Raw genomic sequence first — 22776 nt, 5'->3', positions numbered from 1 at the left:
GAAATATGATCATATTATACCCCTACTTAACAACTCTTCAGTGCTCCCTAAAGCCAACAAAATCCAGTTCCACCATCTTTATGGCAAAATCAAAGGCTATCCACCCCAGGATTTCCTCTGCCAACCTCTGCTTGCAGGCTCAGAAAAAATACTAAGATAACTCATTCCCCTTTCACCCTGTTCACATTGTCCCTCTGCTGAAAAAAAAAAACCTACCTTCCCTATCCCCACTCATCTATCTGAGGACCATCTATCTATTCATCACTTTCCATACAGTTGTTCCAACCCCTCCTCCTACCAACAGAATAATTTTCTTCTTTGTGTCCTCAGAATACCACATATATAATGATTCTTTTATAGTGTCAGTAATAATGTCCTCTTATTTACCAATAATGCTGAAATAAACCTCCTTGCATCTTTAGGCAGAAATCCAGAATGGAACTGCTGGATCAGAAAGTATATATAATGCTAACTGCTCTACAAAGGTTGCTCATTTTATACTTTCAACAGTATTTGTTTCCTACATACTCAATAAAGGATTTTCCGATCTTCTATCTCTGTTAATCTGACAGGTGAAAAATAATAACTCATAATTGTATTTTGTGTGCCCTGTGGTGAATGAAAGAACCTCTGATTGAAGAGGAGTTATACTCAGGATGGCTTACGGAAACAAAAGGGCTGAAGCAATAACAGAAATTTAGTGAATATTTGCTTCAAGTCAGTGGTTCTCATGATGGTGATCTGGAGACAGAAGAAATAAGAGGCTTCACCACAATGGGTTCCTATCATGTTGCCAAATTGCAATATTAAATAAATGACAGAAAGTTTAGAAAATAAGGCATTTTCCATTCGGTAAGAAGTTAAGGGAGTGTGCAAGACCTTAACTGACTATTCCCAGAAATTCGGTTTACCCACAGTTTCAACTCACCATCAAGGAGCCAGTGCTGGCCACGCCTGTTCTCCAACTCGGACATCATTAGGCGTGTGATCACATGGTCTGGAACCAAAAGACTTTTCTCTATATACTGCTTTGCCATCTCACCAACTTCTATTAAAAAGACAAGAAAAAAAGAGGTATTCAAGAAAATTTCCCAAACACAAAGCTTACCAACTCTTAGTTTTGCCTTCTCTCCATCCTTCCTGATGTGGGAAGAAATTCCTAGGAAGTTGTAGACATGTTTTAAGTTTTTAAAATATTCACGTCAATAAGGTGGGACTGTTGCTTATTTAACACATTTATCTCCCAAAAAATTATAAAAGCAGCTCTTTGAGATAGCATAGCACCACCCCTCCTCCCGCCCCCCCCCCAAAAAAAGGAAGAAAGAAACAGTGGCCACGTGTGTGGCTCGTGCCTGTACTTCTGGTACTTTGGGAGGATGAGGTGGGAGGATCACTTAAGCCCAGGAGTTTGCACTTGCAGGGAGCTCAAGCTCATTGACTGCACTACTGAATGCCAGCCTGGGCAACAGGAGGAGACCCTGTCTCAAAAAAAAAAAAGAAAGAAAGAAACCAAGAAAGCAGGAAAGAAAGAAAGAAAGATAAATTGGTCAAGAAAAAAATAAGAGTAGAAAATAAAGTCAAGAAGCAGGATGGTACATAAAAAAGCTGATAAAGAGAAGCCCTGGATAATTCCTAGAGGTAGGCCACAAATTGGGCACTGAGCCTCTCAACAGTTTATGGTAACAAGGAACATGATCAACCACACAATGTACAGAAGACTAAAGGAAGATGAGAAGCACAACCATTTCTTACAGAGACCAAAGGAAAAAAAGTTCCAGTGATCTAAAAAGAATGCCACATAATACAAACAACAACAGCTTTACTTCTTTTCATCAACCTCAATATAAGCAGATGGAACCTTGCTGACACAATTGTAAAAGCAGCTGAGTGTTGTTAGTGGAATGCCAAGTTCATAAAAGGATGTGAAGTTTTAACAAAACCACATAAATACTTTCAGGAGAAAACTGCTTCTATCTTCATTTAAAACATTAATTTCCTATATGTAGAAATTGTGAGTTAGGTTCAGCAGAACAAACTATCAGTTTAAATCTGTACATTTCTAAGAACTAAATGTGTGGGGTGTGTGTGTGTGTGTGTGTGTGCACGCGTATGTGTTTTACCACAAATGAAATCCTCTGCTCTCTGGGGAACTTATAATGAATGCTAAGAATCACATTCTCAGCTGGGCGCAGTGGCTCATGCCTGTAATCCCAACACTTTGGGAAGCCGAGGCAGGCAGATCACCTGAGATCGGGAGTATGAGACCAGCCTGACCAACATGGAGAAACCCTGTCTCTACTAAAAATACAAAACTAGCCAGGCATGGTGGTGCATGCCTGTAATCCCAGCTACTCGGGAGGCTGAGGCATGAGAATCACTTGAACCCAGGAGGCGCAGGTTGCAGTGAGCCGAGATTGAGCCATTGCACTCCAGTCTGGGCAACAACTCCATCTCAAAAAAAAAAAAAAAAGAGAGAGAATCACATTCTCAACAGACCAATTCAGTTTTTTAAAAAACACAAAGAGCCAGGTGTGGTGGCTCACGCCTGTAATCCCAGCACTTTGGGAGGTCGAGGCAGGCGGATCACCTGAGGTCAAGAGTTCGAGACCAGCCTGGCTAACATGGTGAAATACCATCTCTACTAAAAAATACAAAAATTAGCTGAGTGTGGTGGTGGGTGCCTCTAATCCCAGCTACTTGGGAGGCTGAGACAGGAGAATCGCTTGAATCCAGTAGGCAGAGGTTGCAGTGAGCCAAGACTGCGCCACTGCACTGGGTGACAGAGCAAGACTCTATCGCAAAAAAAATAAAAATAAAAAAATAAATTAGGTGGCGGGCACCTATAATCCCAGCTACTCAGGAGGCTGAGGCAGGAGAATCACTTGAACCTGGGAGGCGGAGGTTGCAGTGAGCCAAGATCGTGCCACTGCATTTCAGCCCAGGCGACAGCGAGACTCCATCTCAAAAAAATATATAAGTAGGTCAGGCGCGGTGGCTCACGCCTGTAATCCCAGCACTTTGGGAGGCTGAGGTGGGTGGATCACGAGGTCAGGAGATCAAGACCATCCTGGCTAACACGGTGAAACCCCGTCTCTACTAAAAATACAAAAAATTAGCCAGGTGTGGTGATAGGCGCCTGTAGTCCCAGCTACTCGGGAGACTGAGGCAGGAGAATGGTGTGAACCCAGGAGGCGGAGCTTGCAGTGAGCCAAGATCACGCCACTGCACTCCAACCTGGGCGACAGAGCAAGACTCCATCTCAAACAAAAAATAAAAATAAAAATAAAAACACAAAGCGGAATTATATTACTAGAAAAAGGCTCAAGAATCATTTGACCCCACTTTCTTTTATTTTTATTTTTTTTGCTATGGAGTCTCACTGTCACCCAGGCTGGAATGCAGTAGTGTGATCTCTGCTCATCGCAACCTCTGCCTCCCGGGTTCAAGCGATTCTCCTGCCCCAGCCTCCCAAGTAGCTGGGATTATAGATGTGCGCCACCATGCCCAACTAATTTCTGTATTTTTAGTAGAGACAGGGTTTCACCATGTTGGCCAGGCTGGTCACCAATTCCTGACCTCAAGTGATCCGCCCACATCTGCCTCCCAAAGTGCTGGGATTACAGGCATGAGACACCATGCCTGGCCTCCCCACTTTCACCTTTAATTTAGGTAGAAGCCTTGCCTCCCCAGACTGAGTCTGTACCCCCAACCCCAACTTAAGCACTGAAAGATGGGCTGTGAAGGGCTCCATATCTCTTGAGTACTACCACTAGACAAGTAGCTCAAAACACAGGCCCAGTTGATGCAGATTCACTAACATGCTGCAAAAGGCGGAACAAGAAAGACAGCCACATTGGTGAATGTGACTGAACATGAATGTGAACAAGCCACATTCATTTGACTAGTATTATATTTATTGGCTACATACTCCATAACAGGTCATATTCTGGAGATGTAGCAGTGAATAAATAAAAGTTCCAGCTTACAGATATTTAAACCGTATTACTTCAAGAGCAACAACCACCACCATTAATTAAGTGCATACTATGTCCCAGGCACTGGGCTTTAAGTGCTTTATGTTATTTCATTTCATTTAATCTTCATAAGATCCTCACCTTCAGATAGAAGGTAATCCCAGCATTTTTTTATGACAGCTTTATTGTGATAATTCACACACTATAACATCTGCCATTTTTAAATGTAGGACTCAGCAGCTTTCAGTATAGTCTCAATGTTGTACAACCATCACCACTCCCTAATTTCAGAACACTTTCACTACTTCAGAAAGAAACCCTGACCCATTAGCAGTCACTCCTTCTTCTCATCTCCCTCTCGCCCCCAGCAACTACCAATCTTTCTGTCTGTAGATTTGCCTACCCTGGACACTTCTTTTTTTTTTTTTTTTTTTTTGAGACGGAGTCTCGCTCTGTCACCCACGCTGGAGTGCAGTGGCGCGATCTCGGCTCACTGCAAGCTCTGCCTCCTGGGTTCACACCATTCTCCTGCCTCAGCCTCTCCGAGTAGCTGGGACTACAGGCGCCCGCCACCATGCCCAGCTAATTTTTAGTATTTTTAGTAGAAACAGGGTTTCACCGTGGTCTCGATCTCCTGACCTCATGATCCGCCCGCCTCAGCCTCCCAAAGTGCTGGGATTACAAGCGTGAGCCACCGCGCCCGGCCTCCCTGGACACTTCTTATAAATGGAATCATAGTTTTCTGTGACTGTTTTCTTTCACTTAGCTTAATGTTTTCAATGTACCACGTATCCATATTTCACTCCTATTTATGGCTAAATAACATTTCATTGTATGGTTATGCCACATTTTATTCATACATATAATGGATATTTGGGTTGTTTCTACTTTTTGGCTATTATGAATAATGCTGTAGTGAATGTTCATATACATTGTGTGAGTGTATGTTTTCAGTTCTCTTGGGTAATACCTGTGTGGTATCTATGTTCTAGGTCTAAACAATCACTATCAGAAAAGATGCAAGGAGCAACTGACAACCTGGGTGCTGTCCCACTCTGCAATAGTCACGCCAGGCCCAGAGCCCCATTCTTAGTCTCATCCACCAAACTTTAAGGTAGATAAACAACAAATACACATCTTCCAAGGTGAAAGACCAAAATGTGTATTTTGCATTGTTTTCTAGAACTCCAGATCTAATTATATATTGAGGTATTTGTTCATTCACTTTCTGCCCCCTCTACTAGAAATTATTAGCTCAAAGAAGGAAAAGTTAAAACAGTTGGTTCAATGCCACATCCTCAGTGCTTAAAATATAGTCTGGCATATATTAGATGACCCATAAAAATGTGTTGCATGGGCCAGGCTGATGGTTCGTGCCTGTAATCCCAGTGCTTTGGGAGGCCAAGGTGGGTGGATCACTTATGGCCAGGAGTTTGAGACCAGCCTGGGCAACTCGTTGCCCTACTAAAAATACAAAAAAATTAGCTTGGTATGGTGATGCATGCCTGTAATCCCAGCTACTTGGGAGGCTAAGGCACAAGAATAGTTTGAACCCAAGAGGCAGAGGTTGCAGTGAGCCGAGATTGCACCACTGCACTACAGCCTGGGCGACAGAGCGAGACTCTGTCTCAAAAAATTAAGTTAAATTAAATTAAAATTTAAAAATTTAAAAAATATGTTGCATGAATGAACACCCTGAAGATAGGAGAATTTTCTTTTACCTTGCAAAAATCAATATGATCATCTTGGAGAGTTATTATAGAACCATTATCCCAAAATCAAATATGGCCCAACCTCACCAGATAGCAACCTTTTGAAAAGAGGTATGATACAAGCAAAGTGTGATCATGAGTTAAGATGGTCATATTAGGCCAGACACAGTAGCTCACGCCTGTAATCCCAGCACTTTGGGAGGCCAAGGTGGGCAGATCACCTGAGGTCAGGAGTTTGAGACCAGCCTGACCAACATGGAGAAACCCCGTCTCTACTAAAAATATAAAAATTTACCGGGTGTGGTGGCATGTGCCTATCTGTAATCCCAGCTACTGGGGAGGCTGAGGCAGAAGAGCTTGAGCCCAAGAGGCGGAGGTTACAGTGAGCCAAGATCACGCCAGCCTAGGTGACAGAGCAAGACTCCATCTCAAAAAAAAAAAAAAAAAGATGGTCATATTCGGTTTCACAGCCCAACCTTATTTCTTCAGCATTTCAAAACATGAATAGAAGTGAACCAGGTTGGGTAGGGGAAATGAGAAGAAGGAAACAGCAACAGCAAATGTTGCAGAGATGTGGGGCCCTTTGGTATACCTGGAAGAACTTCTTCAAGCACTGACAGTCAAAGAAAAGCCCACCACTAAGAGATGGTGCTAGATGGGCAGGATATGGAGCGTGAACTTTGAGGAATTTTAAATAGATAGTTTTAGAAATGCTATTCCTAGAGCCAAGACCAGCTACTGAAATCGTAGGGACTAGTACAAATTGAAGGTGTTCCTCTTGTTGGAAAATGAAGAATTTCAAGATGACAACAGCAGAGCACTAAACTACGCACGGGGCCTTACGTGCCTACATGGGTCGCAGGCCCTTGGAAATGTGACATTTGGATGTGGCATGGTGGAAGCAAAGGAGGCTGCGATAATAATCCAAGCACAAGATGAAGGCCTGAACTAAGCAGAAGCAGTGGAGGAAGACCTTCATGTGCCCCTTGAGAGAGAACCTTGAGTTAATTCAACACAAGCAGTACGACCCCAAGTTTAAAATAACTCTGTGGAAGACTTCCAGAGGCATCTTACTCTAATTTACTAATTGAAAGATCTAAGTGCAGCATACTTTTGCAGCTATTCCTGCCAGCTTTGGCTCTTCTCTGAAGCAGGGCAAGCAACATGTCCTCTAACCTGATACAAGATCAAACTTGTCCCACATATCTCAATCTCTACCATGAAAACCCAGAAAGATCCTCAGACAAAGCAAAATGACCTTAATATATCCGCATCTGAATGAAGACCTCATGACAACAGCAAACTACAATAAAACACCCTGTCAGAAGACTGAGGCCCATTTCGGAAAACTGGACCTTCATCTACCCTTGTCAGTTTGCTTGGAAGAGAAAGCAGCATCATTAAATGCTGATGATAGCATGCATGGACTTACCTGCTCTAATTTCTGAAGCAGTATTCCAAAGAAAGGCTGTGGACACACATACATGGTCCCACACAGCTTCTGAATCCTGAGTGTGTTCACACACACACATCACACACACAAATAATTCAGAAAACACTAGGAAGGTTTCAAATAAATGTAATAAATATAGGGTGCCCCAAAGAGGCCACTATCTTTGCCTTTTTCTTAAGTTTCACAACAAACCAACAAATAAATCCATCATGTGTTTATAAGATTAAACAAAACACCAATGATTAAGGCGACATATAAAAAATCTTTCTTCAGAAAAGGAAAGATGAAGTGTCAGATTCCAAACATTATATATAACAAAATTATGTGTTCATATAGAGAGAAAGATAGATGGATGGTATCATCCACAATGTTAAGTATATTAGAAGAAAATCAATGTTCTACATATCTTACAACAATATAAATTTTGTGGCAATTCATCTTAACAACCTATTCCATTCAATCACTACTAAATTCAAATAGATATAATCTTGGTAACCTTGAGAAATATATATTTTCAATTTCTAACTAGATCAGATAATATACAAATTTTCAGGATTTAAGACTATTAAACTGTGCATTAAGATAATACCGCATTTAAAATTATACGATAACACAAAACTTAAGACTATCTATTAAGTTGGTCATCTCTCCAAAATTCATGCTTCCAGGATATGGAAAGATATTTTGTTAGCCTCAATTCCTACACATTAAAGCTGTCCACATTTATATCAACAGACTGAAATAGATCACTGTATTCAGGGCAGCACATATGCCAAAACACTGTCAACTGCTGAAGGAGTAGGATGTTGGACTCACATTCTGCATCATCTTAAGGCTGGTTAAAAAGAAAAGACCTGTAAGTAGAAGAGCCAATAAGCAGATGACATTTCTTTAGAAAAACCATGAGAACACAGACACATACATACACACACACACACACACACACACACACACACACACACACACACGGATATTTATATAGCACAAAATCCATTCTACAGCAACCCTAAATATGCAGGACAGTCAGCATAAACACTGCAGGGACTGAATGACTCTCAAAAAGAAAGAAATATTGGCCGGGAACAGTGGCTCACGCCTGTAATCCCAGCGCTTTGGGAGGCCAAGGTTGGGTGGGTTGCCCAAGCTCAGGAGTTCAAGACCAGACTGGCCAACATGGCAAAACCCCCAAAAATACAAAAAATTAGCTGGGCGTGATGGTGTGCACCTGCAGTCCCAGCTACCCTGGAGGCTGAGGCATGAGAATCACTTGAACCCAGGAGGCAGAGGTTGCAATGAGCCAAGATAACGCCACTTCACTCCAGCTTGGGCGACAGAGCAAGACTCTGACTCAAAACAAAATAAAACAAAGGAAAGAAAAAATAAATAAATATGTAAAGATCCAAAATACAAAAGGCTGATTTTGGTCCTGAAATGGGAAGAAAAAAAAAGGTACACTGTTCCCTCTGACAATATAGGGTATGGTTAGTTTTGTGGTTTGAATACTCTTTAAATCCACAAAATACTCATTCAGCTAATATTTATTAAGCATCTATGTGCCAGGCCCTATATCAATCTAGCATGAGGCCTGTTCCAGAGCTCAGAGTCTTAAACACTGGGATTGGGTACTAATCCACCAAAAGCTTTCAATAGCAAAAGTTCATGGAATTTTACTCTGTGTCAGGCAGAAAATTAAACAGTCAGTAGTTATCACAATTAAGATATAGAGGCTCTTACACTGCCAATAAAGTTCTACATAAATACACTATGAAAGAGGAATAGGCTATAGGTCACAAGCTAAATGAAAGCGTTTAGTCAAACAATGAATCTGCCAGCCAATCCACCTTTCACTATTGAAGAGATTATCTCTAAAATACTAGTCCAGGGTTACAGAAAGCCAACCAGGTTACCTTAGTTTCTTGACGCTGGAGACAAAAAGATTTGTTTTAATAAAAGTGGTGATTAACACCTCAAAATAATTGACTTTAGTTAGGTAAAATCCATCAACTGGAATGAAAGTCTCTCAGGATCAAATCTCAACTACTAATACTTTAAGCAAAGGCAAATGAGGTCTTTTTTTTTTTATCTGAATGTCTTATTTCTGTCTGTCATATACTTTTTTCAATAAGTAACGCAGGTGGGGCCAGCATAAGGACAATGAAAAGTGTGTTTTGTGACACAGGAAAGGAAAAGTACATGCCAGAAGTCAGCTGTGCAGTAACCTATGAGAGAGCTACTCCTGTTTCACCCCAGATCATCACCTCGATTCCAAAGCCACTCCAATCACTCAGAACCACAGCTGAAAATTCTCTGAACACACCACTTCTCCAACCAAAATTTTCTGCAAGTCTATGTACCAGGTACCACACAAGGCACTAAAGATACAAACATCGTACCCTTGAACTGAGTGTTGTAGCTCACACCAGTAATCCCAACACTTTGAGAGGTCAAGATGGGATGATCCCTTGAGGCCAGGAGTTTGAGACCAACTGGGGCAACATATTAATAACAAGACCCCATCTCTATAAAAAATGTAAAATTAGTCAGGCGTGGTGGCACACACCTGTAGTCCCAGCGACTCTGGAGATTGAAGTGGGAGGATCACTTGAGCCCAGGAGTTCCAGGGTGCAGCAAGCTATGACTGCGCCACTGCACTCCAGCCTGGGCAACAGAGAGAGGCACTCCTGCCTCTAAAAAATAAAAAATTTACTGAGCAACTACTCTGTGCCAGGCTGTGGCACATTTCCCTAAGTGTCAGAGAAACCACAAAGGGAGGGGGCATCAGAAGTCATCTGTGATCTTCTTCAGATTGCTTGGCCAGGTGACATCAAACAGATGACAACTTGGCCTATCAAAACAACGTCAAGTTATAAGAATGGCTTCCTATCATTTACTGGCACAACCCAAAAATAAAAATAATAAAAGCTTAATTCTGGCCGGGCACTGTGACTCACACTTGTAATCCCAGCACTTTGGGAGGCCAAGACAGGCAGATCACTTGAGGTCAGGAGTTTGAGACCAGCCTGGCCAACAATGGCGAATCCCCGTCTCTGCTAAAAATACCAAAATTAGCCAGGCATGGTGGCACATGCCTGTAGTCCCAGCTACTTGGGAGGCTGAGGCCTTGAACCTGGGAGGCGGAGGTAGCAGTGAGCTGAGATAGCGCCATTGCATTCCAGTCTGGGCAACAGAGCGAGACTCTGTCTCAAAAAAAAAAAAAAGGCTTAATTCTACAGCTTAGGAGCCTGCTGGTTTATGAAAAAGTCTAACACAGACACAATTATACAATATAATGTTGATGGCTACATGCATATACAAAAGTATATGGTAAAGCAAGAGAATCATTACAAGATGCAGGATAGTGCTGGAGGAGAGAGATGGAAAAAGGAGCTATGGGGTACTGATAACACTCTGTTTCTTAGGCTGGGTGGGAGATACAAAATTGTTATTGTTTCTAGCACCCACACACCCACACATCTGTATCCTCTTTTTGTTGTGACTGTCTATAAAGTGAAGGCAAACTAGATATACAAGACAGAGCTGAACGAATGTTCACAAAACAGCAAATTCCCAAGATGCCTGGCTAAGTCACCAGAAAGAGATAATTACTCAATGTTCTTTTCATTGTTCTACAGAAAATGCTGAGAGTAAGATTCCTGTAAATGAGCTCAATTCCCTTGTAAGACCACTCTACCCTGAAGTATCAGACTGCATGTATGGGACAGAACTAGGAGAAGCCTTGCTCACCCTGGTATCATCCCTTCGCCAAAACATCACTAATAATGGCAGTGCACACGTGTGTGCGCACCTGCGCACACACATACACGCATCTCAAGGGGCCTGGTCAAAGATGAACTGTAGAGCTTTATAATTCTTCAAGCTGCAAGTTCTTTATCTCCCCACTTGTAAGAATATTTTGGCACTGAAGTAGAAATAACTACTTTGGGGGAAAAAATACAGTGAAGAAAGACTTCATTCTATAAGTTATCCCTAATATCACTCTGCTGAATCTCTTCCAGTAAGAAAATAAGCTTTAAAAAATAAAAAACCTTGGTTAAAAAAATAGATGTCAAAGTCCTTTAGAGGCAGAAATCATGGAAGAAACTCTTAAATTTAAGGCATTTTGGCACTTAAGTGACTCATTTCAGACATCCAGTATCCACCTTTCAATTGGTATTTGTTCAAAGCTTGACTTTCTTTTCCTTCATACCAAAAATACAGTTTTAAATCACTCTCTGACACTTGCTATGGGTAACTATGAAGAAAACACCTCAGCCTCCTAAGTAGCTGGGAACACAGGTGCATGCCACCATGCCCAGCTAATTGTTGCATTTTTAGTAGACACGGGGTTTTACCATGTTGCCCAGGCTGGTCTCGAACTTCTGACCTCAAGTGATCCTCCTTCCTCAGCCTCCCAAAGTGGTGGGATTACAGACATGAGCCCCAGCACCTGGCCCAAAGAAAATTCTGAATCCAGTATAATTGGTCAAGTACATACGCTTTAGAGCCAGACTGCCTGAGTTCAAATCCTGGCACCACTTAAAGGCTATAAGACTTTTGTCACGTATGTCTTTGCCTCAGTCAAGTTTGTGCCTCCGTTTCCTCACCAATAAAATGGGAATAATATCACTTAGGGTTGTTTTGAAAGTTGCATGTGATTAACATATGTATAAAGGTCTTGGAATGATGCTGCTTTGCAAATTTCATTCAAGAACATGGAGATACTAAGTATTTGTGTCTATGTGCCAAGGGTTGTTCTAGACCATTTCTTTTTTCTTTTTGTTTTGGAGACAGGGTCTCACTTTGTCACCGAGGCTGAAGTGCAGTGGTGTGATCACAGCTCACTGCACACTTGACCTCCCAGACTCAAGCGATTCTCCCGCCTCAGCCTCCAGAGTAGCTGAGACTACAGGCACATGCCACCATGCCTGGCTAATTTTTCTTTGTAGAGATGGGGGTCTCATCATGTTACCCACGTTGGTCTCAAACTCTTGAGTTCAAGGGATCCTCCTGCCCGGGCCTCCCAAAGTGCCGGGATTACAGGCATGAGCCACCACACCTGGCCGATTCTAGAAAGTTTATATACATGAACTCATCAAATGCTCACAAATATCTATGAAGTCTAGGGTATAATATTCCCTATTTCTTAGATAAGGAAATTGAAACACAGAGAGATTAAGTAACTTGCCCAAAGTAACTGAGTTAATAAGTCATACAGCCCAGACTCAACTTCAAGCAAGTTGGCCCCAGTCCATTTTCTTAACCACTACACACTGCCTCTCAATGTTTGTGAGCATTTTCTTGAACAGAAACAACTTTGCATGTTAGCATACATGCTGCTGAAATATGACACTAGCACCTGTATAAAAGGGACAGGTTCTTACTAAAGAACCGAGCTGCTGACTGTAAGGAAATACCTGGTCCTGCTCTGTATAACCAGTGCTTCCTTTAGGTACTGTATCTAACTAACTAAAAACTCAGTTTCTATGTGGCTGTTTCCTACCAAATTATAAGCATCCTTTAATTCCATATCTCCTCACCAGTCAGCTTCCTTTCCTCTCTCCCAGACCCTCTCCCTCCCCCAATCCATCCTAGACACAACTCCAAGATAGACCTTCCAAAAACACAAGGTGGCACAAGTCGCTCCCTTGCTGACACCACAGTGTGTTCCTTGGCTTGTAGGATGGCATGGATGAATACTCCTTAGGATAGCATTCAAGGTCTCTCTGATCTAGCTGGAAACTACTTCTCAACCTCACCTCCCACCCTCATTTCCTTATCATTCATCCTTTGACCCCTTGTCTGTGCCAGGCACAGAGTCAAGTGCGACTGTGGTTCCTACCCTCCCGCAATCTACAGACTCGTGGAGGAAAGACGGAACAGAAGACAGAGGTGGACACCCCAATCTGACCTCAGGTCCAAAAGAAGCTTCCCACACTGGAGTTGGGCTTCTGAAGGGCTAGCAAATGTTGGCTGGAAGAAACACCCTTCAGTTTGTGTGTTCCTCTAAGAAGCTTTCCCTGATCATTTTTCTCCTATCTTACCTTGAGAGTTAATCCCCCCTTCTGTAATCTACCAGCACATGGGCTAAAGTTAGTTCATTCGGTGTCTGTACTACAGAGGTGTTCCCTTTGGGAAGAGGCAGCCCTGTGGGCCCCCAGCTGAGTAAACACATTGTGGCTATGCACACATTTCAAGATGCTCATTTCTCCAGGCAGACTCAGCCGTGTGCCGGAGAACACAGCTCGGTGGGCAGAACCAGGGTTGGACTACAGGCCTCACACACCCCTTAGCCAGGTTCCCCTCAACAGGCCACGATTTGTACAATCATATGCAGTGGCCTTGTACCTTTACCTGACATTTCACTCCTCCAGTGGAACAGACATTGTTTACAAATCCTCCAGAGCAGATTATAATCCCCTTGAGGCCAGAGGCTATCTTAACAGTCAAGCAAGAGCCACTCTACTTGAGATGAAGAATTATCATACCTTTGAACTCTTCCACCTTCCCATCCACAGGACCCTACAAATTATTAGATGAACTTCTCATTACACCCTTTACCATACCTTACTTTTTGTATCGTTCACCCCTGACAGCCACGGTCATGACTTTCAGGCAATTAAGACTCAGAAAACCCTTCTCAACAAATGAAACATCATGTGCAGCAATGTTTTTTTTTTTTAAATGCTATCTTATAGTCTGATTCTTTGGCAAGCCTTGAATAACTGAGGAAAATTACTGAATTAAGCAAAGCATTCTCTTACCTGATTAGACTACATAAGTGGACATTTGGTGCATGTTGCCCTTGGTTCTCACAACCGTTGCTTCAGTCTACACAAATTGGTGCAGAAAGATCATTACCACAGGTTGTGTTTGGATCCCAAGCCTGATCTCTTAACAAGGAAGGGTCTGTTCCCAACAAGTGGATGCTTGCTCCTCCTGAAGCTATCTGACATTCTTAAACACCCACAAAATGCATGAGTCAACTCTGAAAGATTTCTGAGATTAGGATTCCAAAGTATTCTCTGACAGAAGCAGCAGGAAGTTTAGCATTAAGGAAACAATTTACCGTTTTTAACATATAGGTACGCGGAAGTCACCTCAAGGAAGGTTGTACAAGGCTTCACCAACAAAACTCAACTGCTTCTCTTTGTGCCATCTCCTCTGGGTGTCTGTGTGACACAGATAAATTTTACCCTAAAAGTGTCCTAATAAATCCCAAGCCAGCAGGGATTTGTAAGCTATTCCTAAAGAAGACAACAAAGACAGGTTTATAACTTATTTAATATAATTTTTAAAACTTTGAAACTGTAAAGACTATAATCCTACTCATTTTTGTTCCTTTGGATATTAGACTAATATGCTCGTGGCATATTAGTCACTGGTCTCTGAGGGAAAAAGAGACCTCATATGGAATACACCCGTCTTCAATACCTTTCCTTTGTCATTTAGTCTGCAATATTTAGCTCATGATAGCGGCAATTATTGTTGGTCTTCAACCAAAGGAAGTTGTAGCCAACATTACTCAAATCTGTGATCTGCACAATCGATTATCACCTAAGTCAAAAGCAGATTAATAGTAAAATGAAAAATTATTTAACCTAGATTTGAGCTCGAAAGTACAAATATGCATCTCTTAATCACTAATTGTGAGATTAAAAATGAAAGAATTTGTAATGTGATTTATTTCCTGACATCTGCATTTTATCAAGGGACAATACCTTTTTAAAAACACTGAAATACTGGAATGGCTTCATACTGAGGCAATGGCAAATATGACACCAGGAACTACTACTGCCAGGCTGGGAATCAGGAGTCCCAGCTCTTTGTTCTGCTTTCAGCTCACTGCCCACAGGACTCTCAACACAGCAATGTATTTCACTTATCGTGGCCTCAAGTTTCCTCATCTGCAAGAGAGAGGTAGACCGTTCGACCTCTGCTATCTCTGTGGTGGCACTTCAACTCCCTGCATTTGGAGGCTTGTGTGAAGGGTAGAGGACTAGCCTCCCCACACCAGCTTTCCTTAAACCACAGAGGTTCCATCTCTGTGGTGAGGAGGGGACTTTACAGACTAAGGAGAGTCTCCCGGCATTCACGGGCAGCGAAATCAACTGATCATTATGCCCGTTCTAAACGTGAGAGGTGGAGTCGGGATGGGAACTCAGGCCTGAATCATCATTTAGTGTTCTTTCTACCATACTTTCCCTAGAACGCTTCCTGAGAATAAGGGCCAATGCTTCATGAGGCCTCTTCACTCTTTTCTCTCTAGCCAGACTGGATATTTATATTCACTTAGTCTAATTTTGTACCCAGGGTCCAGAAATGTGTTGGCAGTGGGTATGCTTCTATAATAGCCAAGATAAAAAGATGCATGGACAACAGCCATGACTTTGGGTAGGGGAGGGGCTGGCATTACTGAAAAAGAAGGTGATCCAATCTCTAAGCACAAAGGATATCCAGACAATTCTTCCTCCTTAGGCTTTCTCATTCCGCCAGCAGATCAATTATTATTTCACCCTTCATATTTATTCAAAGAATAAAACAGTACAGTAACCTTCTTTTAAAATTAAATAAGTAGTGAAAGTAAAAGATACTGGAGCTTCATAAGCCAAAAAATTTTGGACGTCCTATGTCAAGTGTATTTTCTTGGCCCGGGATAGGAACACATGCATTCATAAACACACCATGAACATCTGGTGTAATACCACACGCGGCTTTATATAAGCAGCGGAGGAGAAAAGCAGATTGGGATGAATGCAACAGAAGTTGGGCAAGGGAGCAAATAGGAAAACGGCAAGTAATCTGAAAGATTTGCCAAAATCACAGAAGAGTTTTAAACCCAGAATGTTTAACCGTCTCCTCAAGCTCATGTTCTGGAAATCTGCCTTGGTATCCACCATAGCAGGCACTTTCAGCCCTACAGAGTAGGATTACATTGGAAATCTCAGGGGCCCTCTGGATTTTCTTACTCTGTAAAAACCATAGAACAGCCTCCCTGTAACCTGAGCACAGCCCAAGTACTAGACGCATTCAGAGGATAAGGAGGAATGTCACTTTTAAAGCAACACAAATAGTAATTCCTTGCCATTGCACAAGGCCCAGAGTGTGAATCTATCCGGCTGTGCCATGCACCTTGTTGGCTGCCTCTCTGAACAGGATCTTGGCTGCAGCTCAGCAGAAGCAAGGCTGCTATTCTCCAGTGCCATCTGCTCACACAGGATGGATTGCTACTGCTGCCCATGAGAGTCTTCCCTCTCTCTCTCTGTAGTAACTCTGGCAATGCCCTGTTGGAGAACTACAGCAAGGGCTCCAAAAATGTGTGCTGCTCAGCAACCTCCGGAAGGGAAACGGGAACAGGGAGAGCTGATGCGGACACTCTTCTGACAGGACCTCCTCAGCAATCAGCAAGGACAAGCAGTCCACTGAGCGGGCCAACACACAATCATCCTTCAACAGCCAGCAAGAACAACGATACCAGTGGCAACAGTAATGAAACACTTAGGAAGTACTGGACCAGGGGTTGTCAAATGAAGGTCATGACCACTATTTTGGTTGTTTAAAATAAAAAGTGGCACACAAAAAGAGAAAATATTATACATTCTTAAAATGTGTTTCACTTAATTGCAGGATTAAGCTAATTCCTACCATGGAGCACATTAAAAATAGATATCCATAAAAATTTTAAAAAGAAAAAATAAATAAGCAAATATTGGGTCAAGTCTTTCTATACTCCCTTGTACGTATTATCTCAATTAATTCTTACAACAACCGTATGAAGTAGTACCATTATTATTCTTGGTTTGTGGTTGAAGAAATAGAAAGTGTTTGAGTAACTTGCCTGGCTGGCTTCCCAGTCAATGTGGTTCCAAAGCCTGAACTCTTAACACATGCCCTACAGCAAGTAGCTCCCTAGACCCTGTGTCCAAAGCCTTTGCTCACTTCCTCAAGCAATTTCTCTCACACCGTAATTCTTTGTTCAACCATCTGTCCCTTTCCCCTTTCCCCTTGTGAACTGAGAACACCTCAAGGGCAGGTCTTGTTGAGCTCAGTGACTTAAACAAAGGCTCAGGGAGCAAAGGATCCCAACAGTATTTTTTAAATTAAGTGAGTAAATGAGGTATGTTAAAAGAAAAAAGAAGGCAAATTGTAGCCAAGAAAAAAATAATAATAAGTCCTGACACTCGAGGATCTGTCTTTGCCAAAGGGAAATTCGGTCTCTGAATTTAAGAAAGAAAATTAAGAAAACTCAGTCTCTGAATTAAGAAAACGAGTTCCTTGTATTCTTAGAGAGACTTGGGGGAAAATAAACTTCATCTAAAAATTTAATCAGGTTAAAAAAAAAACAACTAGAGTGTCAAAACATCTGCCTATGCTTTGCTCTGGGCCCTTCATTCAGGAAAAACTAATGAGTTTTTGGATCAATAAAGGTAAGGCTAGGGTTTATTTGGGGGGTTGAGGGTGAAGAGGGAAACTATTCTGGATTAGAAAGCCAAATCCTTCTGGTATTGGAGGATTGAAAGCTGAGGAACAGAAAAAGAGCAGACTCTCCAGAAGGGAAAAGAGCAAGAAATCAGTGAGCTGAACCTAAGCCAGGGGAGGGGCAGGCAGTGGCTGAAGGGGTGTGTGGGGAATGGCTGATAGGTTTTTAGGACACCGGTGTCTAACATGCCATGTCAACTTCCTTGTGCCAGACTCTAATCCCCATCACCCCAAACCTTAATACAACCACCTCAGCTAAGTAGTCTATTTTTTTTTTTTTGAGACAGGGTCTCCCTTTGTCACCCAGACTGGAGTACAGTGGCACAATTATGCCTCACTGCATCCTCAGCTTCCCGGGTTTAGGGGATCCTGCCACCTCAGTCTCCTAAGCAGCTGTGGCTACAGGCGTGCGCTACCACGCCTGGCTAATTATTTTTGTATTTTGTAGAGATGAGGTTCCACCATGCCGCCCAGGCTCGAACTCCTGAGCACAAGCGATCTGCCCACCTTGGCCTCCCACAGTGCTGGGATTACAGGTATGAGTAGTGCTTTGGGAGAAGGAAAGAAGGAGGGTCGGGTCCAACATGGGATGAAGTCATACAGAAAGGGCAGCCTTTCCAAGGAAAGACTGAAACGCAGAAGTGAAAAATTACAGGGAAGTATGCAATCTGAGGAAGAGGTGACCAGAGAAAATACCCAGTATTAGAGATGTGGTGTGGAGTGCCGGGAAGCCACTGAGTAAAGGATGAGGGCCCAAGTCTTTCTAATTCGGTATATAAAGCTGGAGGACAGGGACAGCTGATCTGCTGTATGTTAACTCTGTGGTGCAAGCCAAGTGCCATGGACTGTTACCCAGGGTCACTAATATCCCCCACCATGAGAACACATTTACTCCAACATGGTGCAGCCACTACCATGCCACACACCATAATGATTCAATACTGACGACCAAGACTTGTGGTTCAAAAATCTCTTGCTAGGCCGGGCGCAGTGACTCACGCCTGCAATCCCAGCACTTTGGGAGGCCAAGTCAGGTGGATCACTTGAGGTCAGGCATTCAAGACCAGCCTAGCCAACGTGGTGAAACCCTGTCTCCACTAAAAATGCAGAAAATTAGCCAGGCTTGGTGGCACATGCCTGCAATCCCAGCTACCTGAGAGGTTGAGACAGGAGAATCGCTTGAACTCGGAAAGTGGAGGTTGCAGTGAGCACAGATCATGTCATTGCACTCCAGCCTGGGCAACAGAGCGAGAGTTCGTATCAAAAAAAAAAAAAAAAAAAAAAAAATCTCTTGCTGGCCAAGATGGCCCAGAAGTAGAAATAGCGAAGAAGAAGAGAAGAAAGCATCGCATTTCATCTTGCAACTCTGGAAGTCTTATTCTACTAATTAATCTAAGAACGAGCTGATAAAATTACCCAATAAGAAACCTCAAACTCTGCCAGATTTTGCTTTCTGGGTAGGACAATCTATTCCCACAGTTGTCTCTATTCCAATATATGAGTTCCTGGATATCTGAGGATGTTTCCGTCATAAATCAAACCGCCTGTAGTGCATCAGGCCCCTGATTTCCATTCGTAAGCTTATTCTATACCCAAGTCTCTGCATCTTATTTGATTCCATACTGCTATTCCAAACAGCACATTCATGAAATTGAATGCTCCACCAGATATACTAATTTTAGAGTCACTTTAAAATTGTCACACTTTCTCCACCGCCAAATAAAAGGAGGAAAACAAAGCAGGCATATATAATTCAGCAGCTGCCACAGCTGCTCTCTAAAAACTGGTACAAAGAAGGTGACATATTCGAGACAAGAATCTCCCCTCCCTTTTTTCTTTTTATTTAACACTAAACCAGAAGATACCTACAGTCTTTAAAGACGATTAACTTTTTTAACTTGGTGCAGTAGAGCTACTTCACCAAGGCAGCAACGTCTGGCATCAGTCAACAAACAAAAGTTACGTTTTAAAAAACGTAAAGCTTACGTTTTAAACTCATTCCAAATATATATATATTTGGGAAGTGTAATGAGTTTAAATATATATATATATATATATATATATATATATATATATATACTTGAGATGGAGTCTCTCTCTGTTGCTCAGGTTGGAGTGCAGTGACACAATCTTGGCTTACTTTAACCTCTGCGCCTGGGTTCAAGCAATTCTCAAGCCTCAGCCTCCCGAGTAGCGGGGATTATAGGCATGTGCCACCATGCTAATTTTTTATTTTTACTAGAGCTAGGGTTTCACCATACTGGCCAGGCTGGTCTAAAACTCCTGACCTCAAGTGATCCACCCACTTCAGCCTCCCAAAGTGCTGGGATTATAGGCATGAGCCACCATGCCTAGCCCTAAGTATATAATTAGATTCCACTTCTTTGCGACTTAAAGACATGACAATCTTCAGATAAATTTAAACCTAATAAAATCCAATGATAGCTGCTATGGTGATTATCAGTCTATTCAACCCTATATATTTTAGGCAAACGATCAACAACATTCGTTTTACCTGACCTTTTAAGAGCAACTATTGGCTGGGCACAGTGGCTCACACCTGTAATCCCATCACTTTGGGAGGCCGAGGTGGGCAGATCAGGAGGTCAGGGGTTTGAGACCAGCCCGGCCAATTTAGTGAAACCCCGTCTCTACTGAAAAAACAAAATTAGCCGGGCATGATGGCGGGCGCCTGTAGTCCCAGCTACTAGGGAGGCTGAGGCAGGAGAATCGCTTGACCAGGGAGGTGGAGGTTGCAGTGCGGAGATTGTGCCACTGCACTCACTGCAGGCTAGGCAACAGAGGGAGACTCTGTCTCAAAAAAAAAAAAAAAAAAAAAGCAACTATTTCTGAAACACAGAATAAGTCTATATCCAAAAAAAAAAAAAAGGCCTATAATTATGCCTGTAATCCCAGCACTTTGGGAGGTTGAGGCAAGCAGATTGCTCGAGCCCAGAACTTCCAGACCAGCCTGGGAAATATAGTGAGACCCTATCTGCACAAAAAAAAAAAAAAAAAAATTAGCCAAGCATGGTGGCATGTGCCTGTAGTCCGAGCTACTCGGGAGGCTGAGGTTGGAAGATCTCTTGAGTGACAGGTGGAGGCAGCAGTAAGCCATGATCGTGCCACTGCACTCCAGCCTGGATGGCAAAGCAAGACCTTGTCTCAAAAAAAAAAAAAAAAAAAAAGGAAGAAGACAAGACAAACCAATAATTACAACAGGAATGACACCCTAACAAGGAGACACCTAGCCTGAAACCCTTAACAGAGGGCTGCTTTGCCTTGCGTAACACTTGAACTATCAAGAACAAAGCTTTAAATAGCTGATTCTGCAAATTTTTTTGGCCTTTCACTAGTCACTAACCATGTGACAGATTTCCAAGATATAACTAAAGGCAAGGAACAGAACCAGTATTACAGGAAGATCCTATCATCATAATTTAACTTCTAGAAACACCACAGTGAGTTCCTGGCTCCCGTCACTTAGAACATCTCGCGCCGACTAACAGCAGTTCCAGCTAGAGCTCAGCCACCATCTGTGGCTGTCTTTCACAATCTCAGCCATAAAGGAAAAGCAAAGTTTCAAACGTGCTGTTTGGTTTGGCTAGGCTCCTCTACGCATAAGCTAAGTGCACACATTTTTCATTTTCTGGGATCTGAGCTCCAGCAGTGTTTGAAACATGACATTCAAAGCACCATTTAACAGAAGACAAGAAAGAACGACATCCTCTAATACCTTAAAACTGATTTTTTTTGTGTGTGTGTGTGTGTGTGTGAGACGGAGTCTCGCTCTGTCACCCAGACTGGGGTGCAGTGGCGCGATCTCGGCTCACTGCAAGCTCCGTCTCCCGGGTTCACGCCATTCTCCTGCCTCAGCCTCCCGAGTAGCTGGGACTACAGGCGCCCGCCACCGCACCTGGGTAATTTTCTTTTTTTGTATTTTTAGTAGACGGGGTTTCACCGTGGTCTCAATCTCCTGACCTCGTGATCCGCCCGCCTCCGCCTCCCAAAGTGCTGGGATTACAGGCGTGAGCCACCACGCCTGGCCAAAACTGATCTTAGTTATGAGATTTGGATTGGGACTCTGACGCAACCTAACAGAAAATATCCTGGAGGTGGGAGGGACTTTCCATGAGGCACTAAAATTCATTTCCTCTACAAAACTAACCCTAGAGTAATCACTAATAACAAATACCAATACACTGGCCTCACACCACCTAGAGTGAGGGAGTGAGTGAGGGGCCACACACACACACAAAACCGAACAACTAATGACCAAGAAAAAATAATACTTTAATGCAATACTTTTAAACATGCCCAAAAAATCCATGATAAAAAAACTGCAGAAAGTTCAAATAACAATAGGACCTGACCCTACATATGCCTGACTTAGTCTTACTTCACCCTCATCCTGACCAGGCCAGATCTGGAATTTATTTGAAATTTTGGTATGTTGTTCATTTTATCACATTAAACTATTATTTATCTTGATTACTGAGTGTTTTTGGTGCCCCCTTAAACTTTTCACTGGGGGACAGTGCCTCAGCTTCACTCCCCTCACCCTGGCCAGGCTGTCAATATATATGAATCTGTGTAATACTAGAAAACCCTGTGTGTTAGCTCTATCATTACTCTCATTTACAAATGAGTAAACACAAAACATTGGCTACTCTGCCCAAAGTCACAGAGCTAGGGTGGTCAAATCAGGATCGAAATCCAGAGCCTACACTCTTAAATACAACCACACTACCTCTCTGAGCTTTGCATCACTAAGTCATTTGGCATAAATCAATACAGTTCTGGAATTTAAAAAATCCAGATATGTGGAAACAATCCAAATAAACTCTAAATAAAGATAATTTGGGGAAATTCAGTCATGAGTTGTTCACCGCTGAATGATATCCTGCAATATTTAGGCTAAGTGTGTTTTTTTCTTTTCTTTTCTTTTTCTTTTTTTTTTTTTTTTTGAGACAGCGTCTCATTCTGCCAACCAGGCTGGAGTGCAGTGGTGCAATCATAGCTCACTGTATCCTTGAACTCCTAGGTTCAAGCAATCCTCCCATCTCATCCGCCCTAGTAGCTGGGACTACCGGGGTACACCACCACAGCTGGCTAATTGTTTTTATTTTTGTAGACACATGGTCTTGCTACATTGCCCAGG

General features: G+C 42.5%; 1 protein-coding gene across 6 annotated transcripts in view; it reads right to left on the bottom strand.

Annotated features, from left to right (window-relative positions):
• The window catches only part of AK4 (adenylate kinase 4), an 84594-nt gene that overhangs the window by 40388 nt on the left and 21430 nt on the right, over window positions 1–22776 (bottom strand). For all 6 annotated transcript variants that reach the window (NM_203464.3, XM_017000613.2, NM_001005353.3 and 3 more), the window contains one exon: window positions 929–1048. In NM_203464.3, coding sequence (NP_982289.1) covers window positions 929–1048 — 120 coding nt within the window. The remainder of the gene's footprint in view (window positions 1–928; window positions 1049–22776) is intronic.

This window comes from Homo sapiens, chromosome 1 (assembly GCF_000001405.40).
Source record: "Homo sapiens chromosome 1, GRCh38.p14 Primary Assembly".
Lineage (NCBI taxonomy): Eukaryota > Metazoa > Chordata > Mammalia > Primates > Hominidae > Homo > Homo sapiens.
This window is presented reverse-complemented; position numbering and strand designations above follow the sequence as displayed.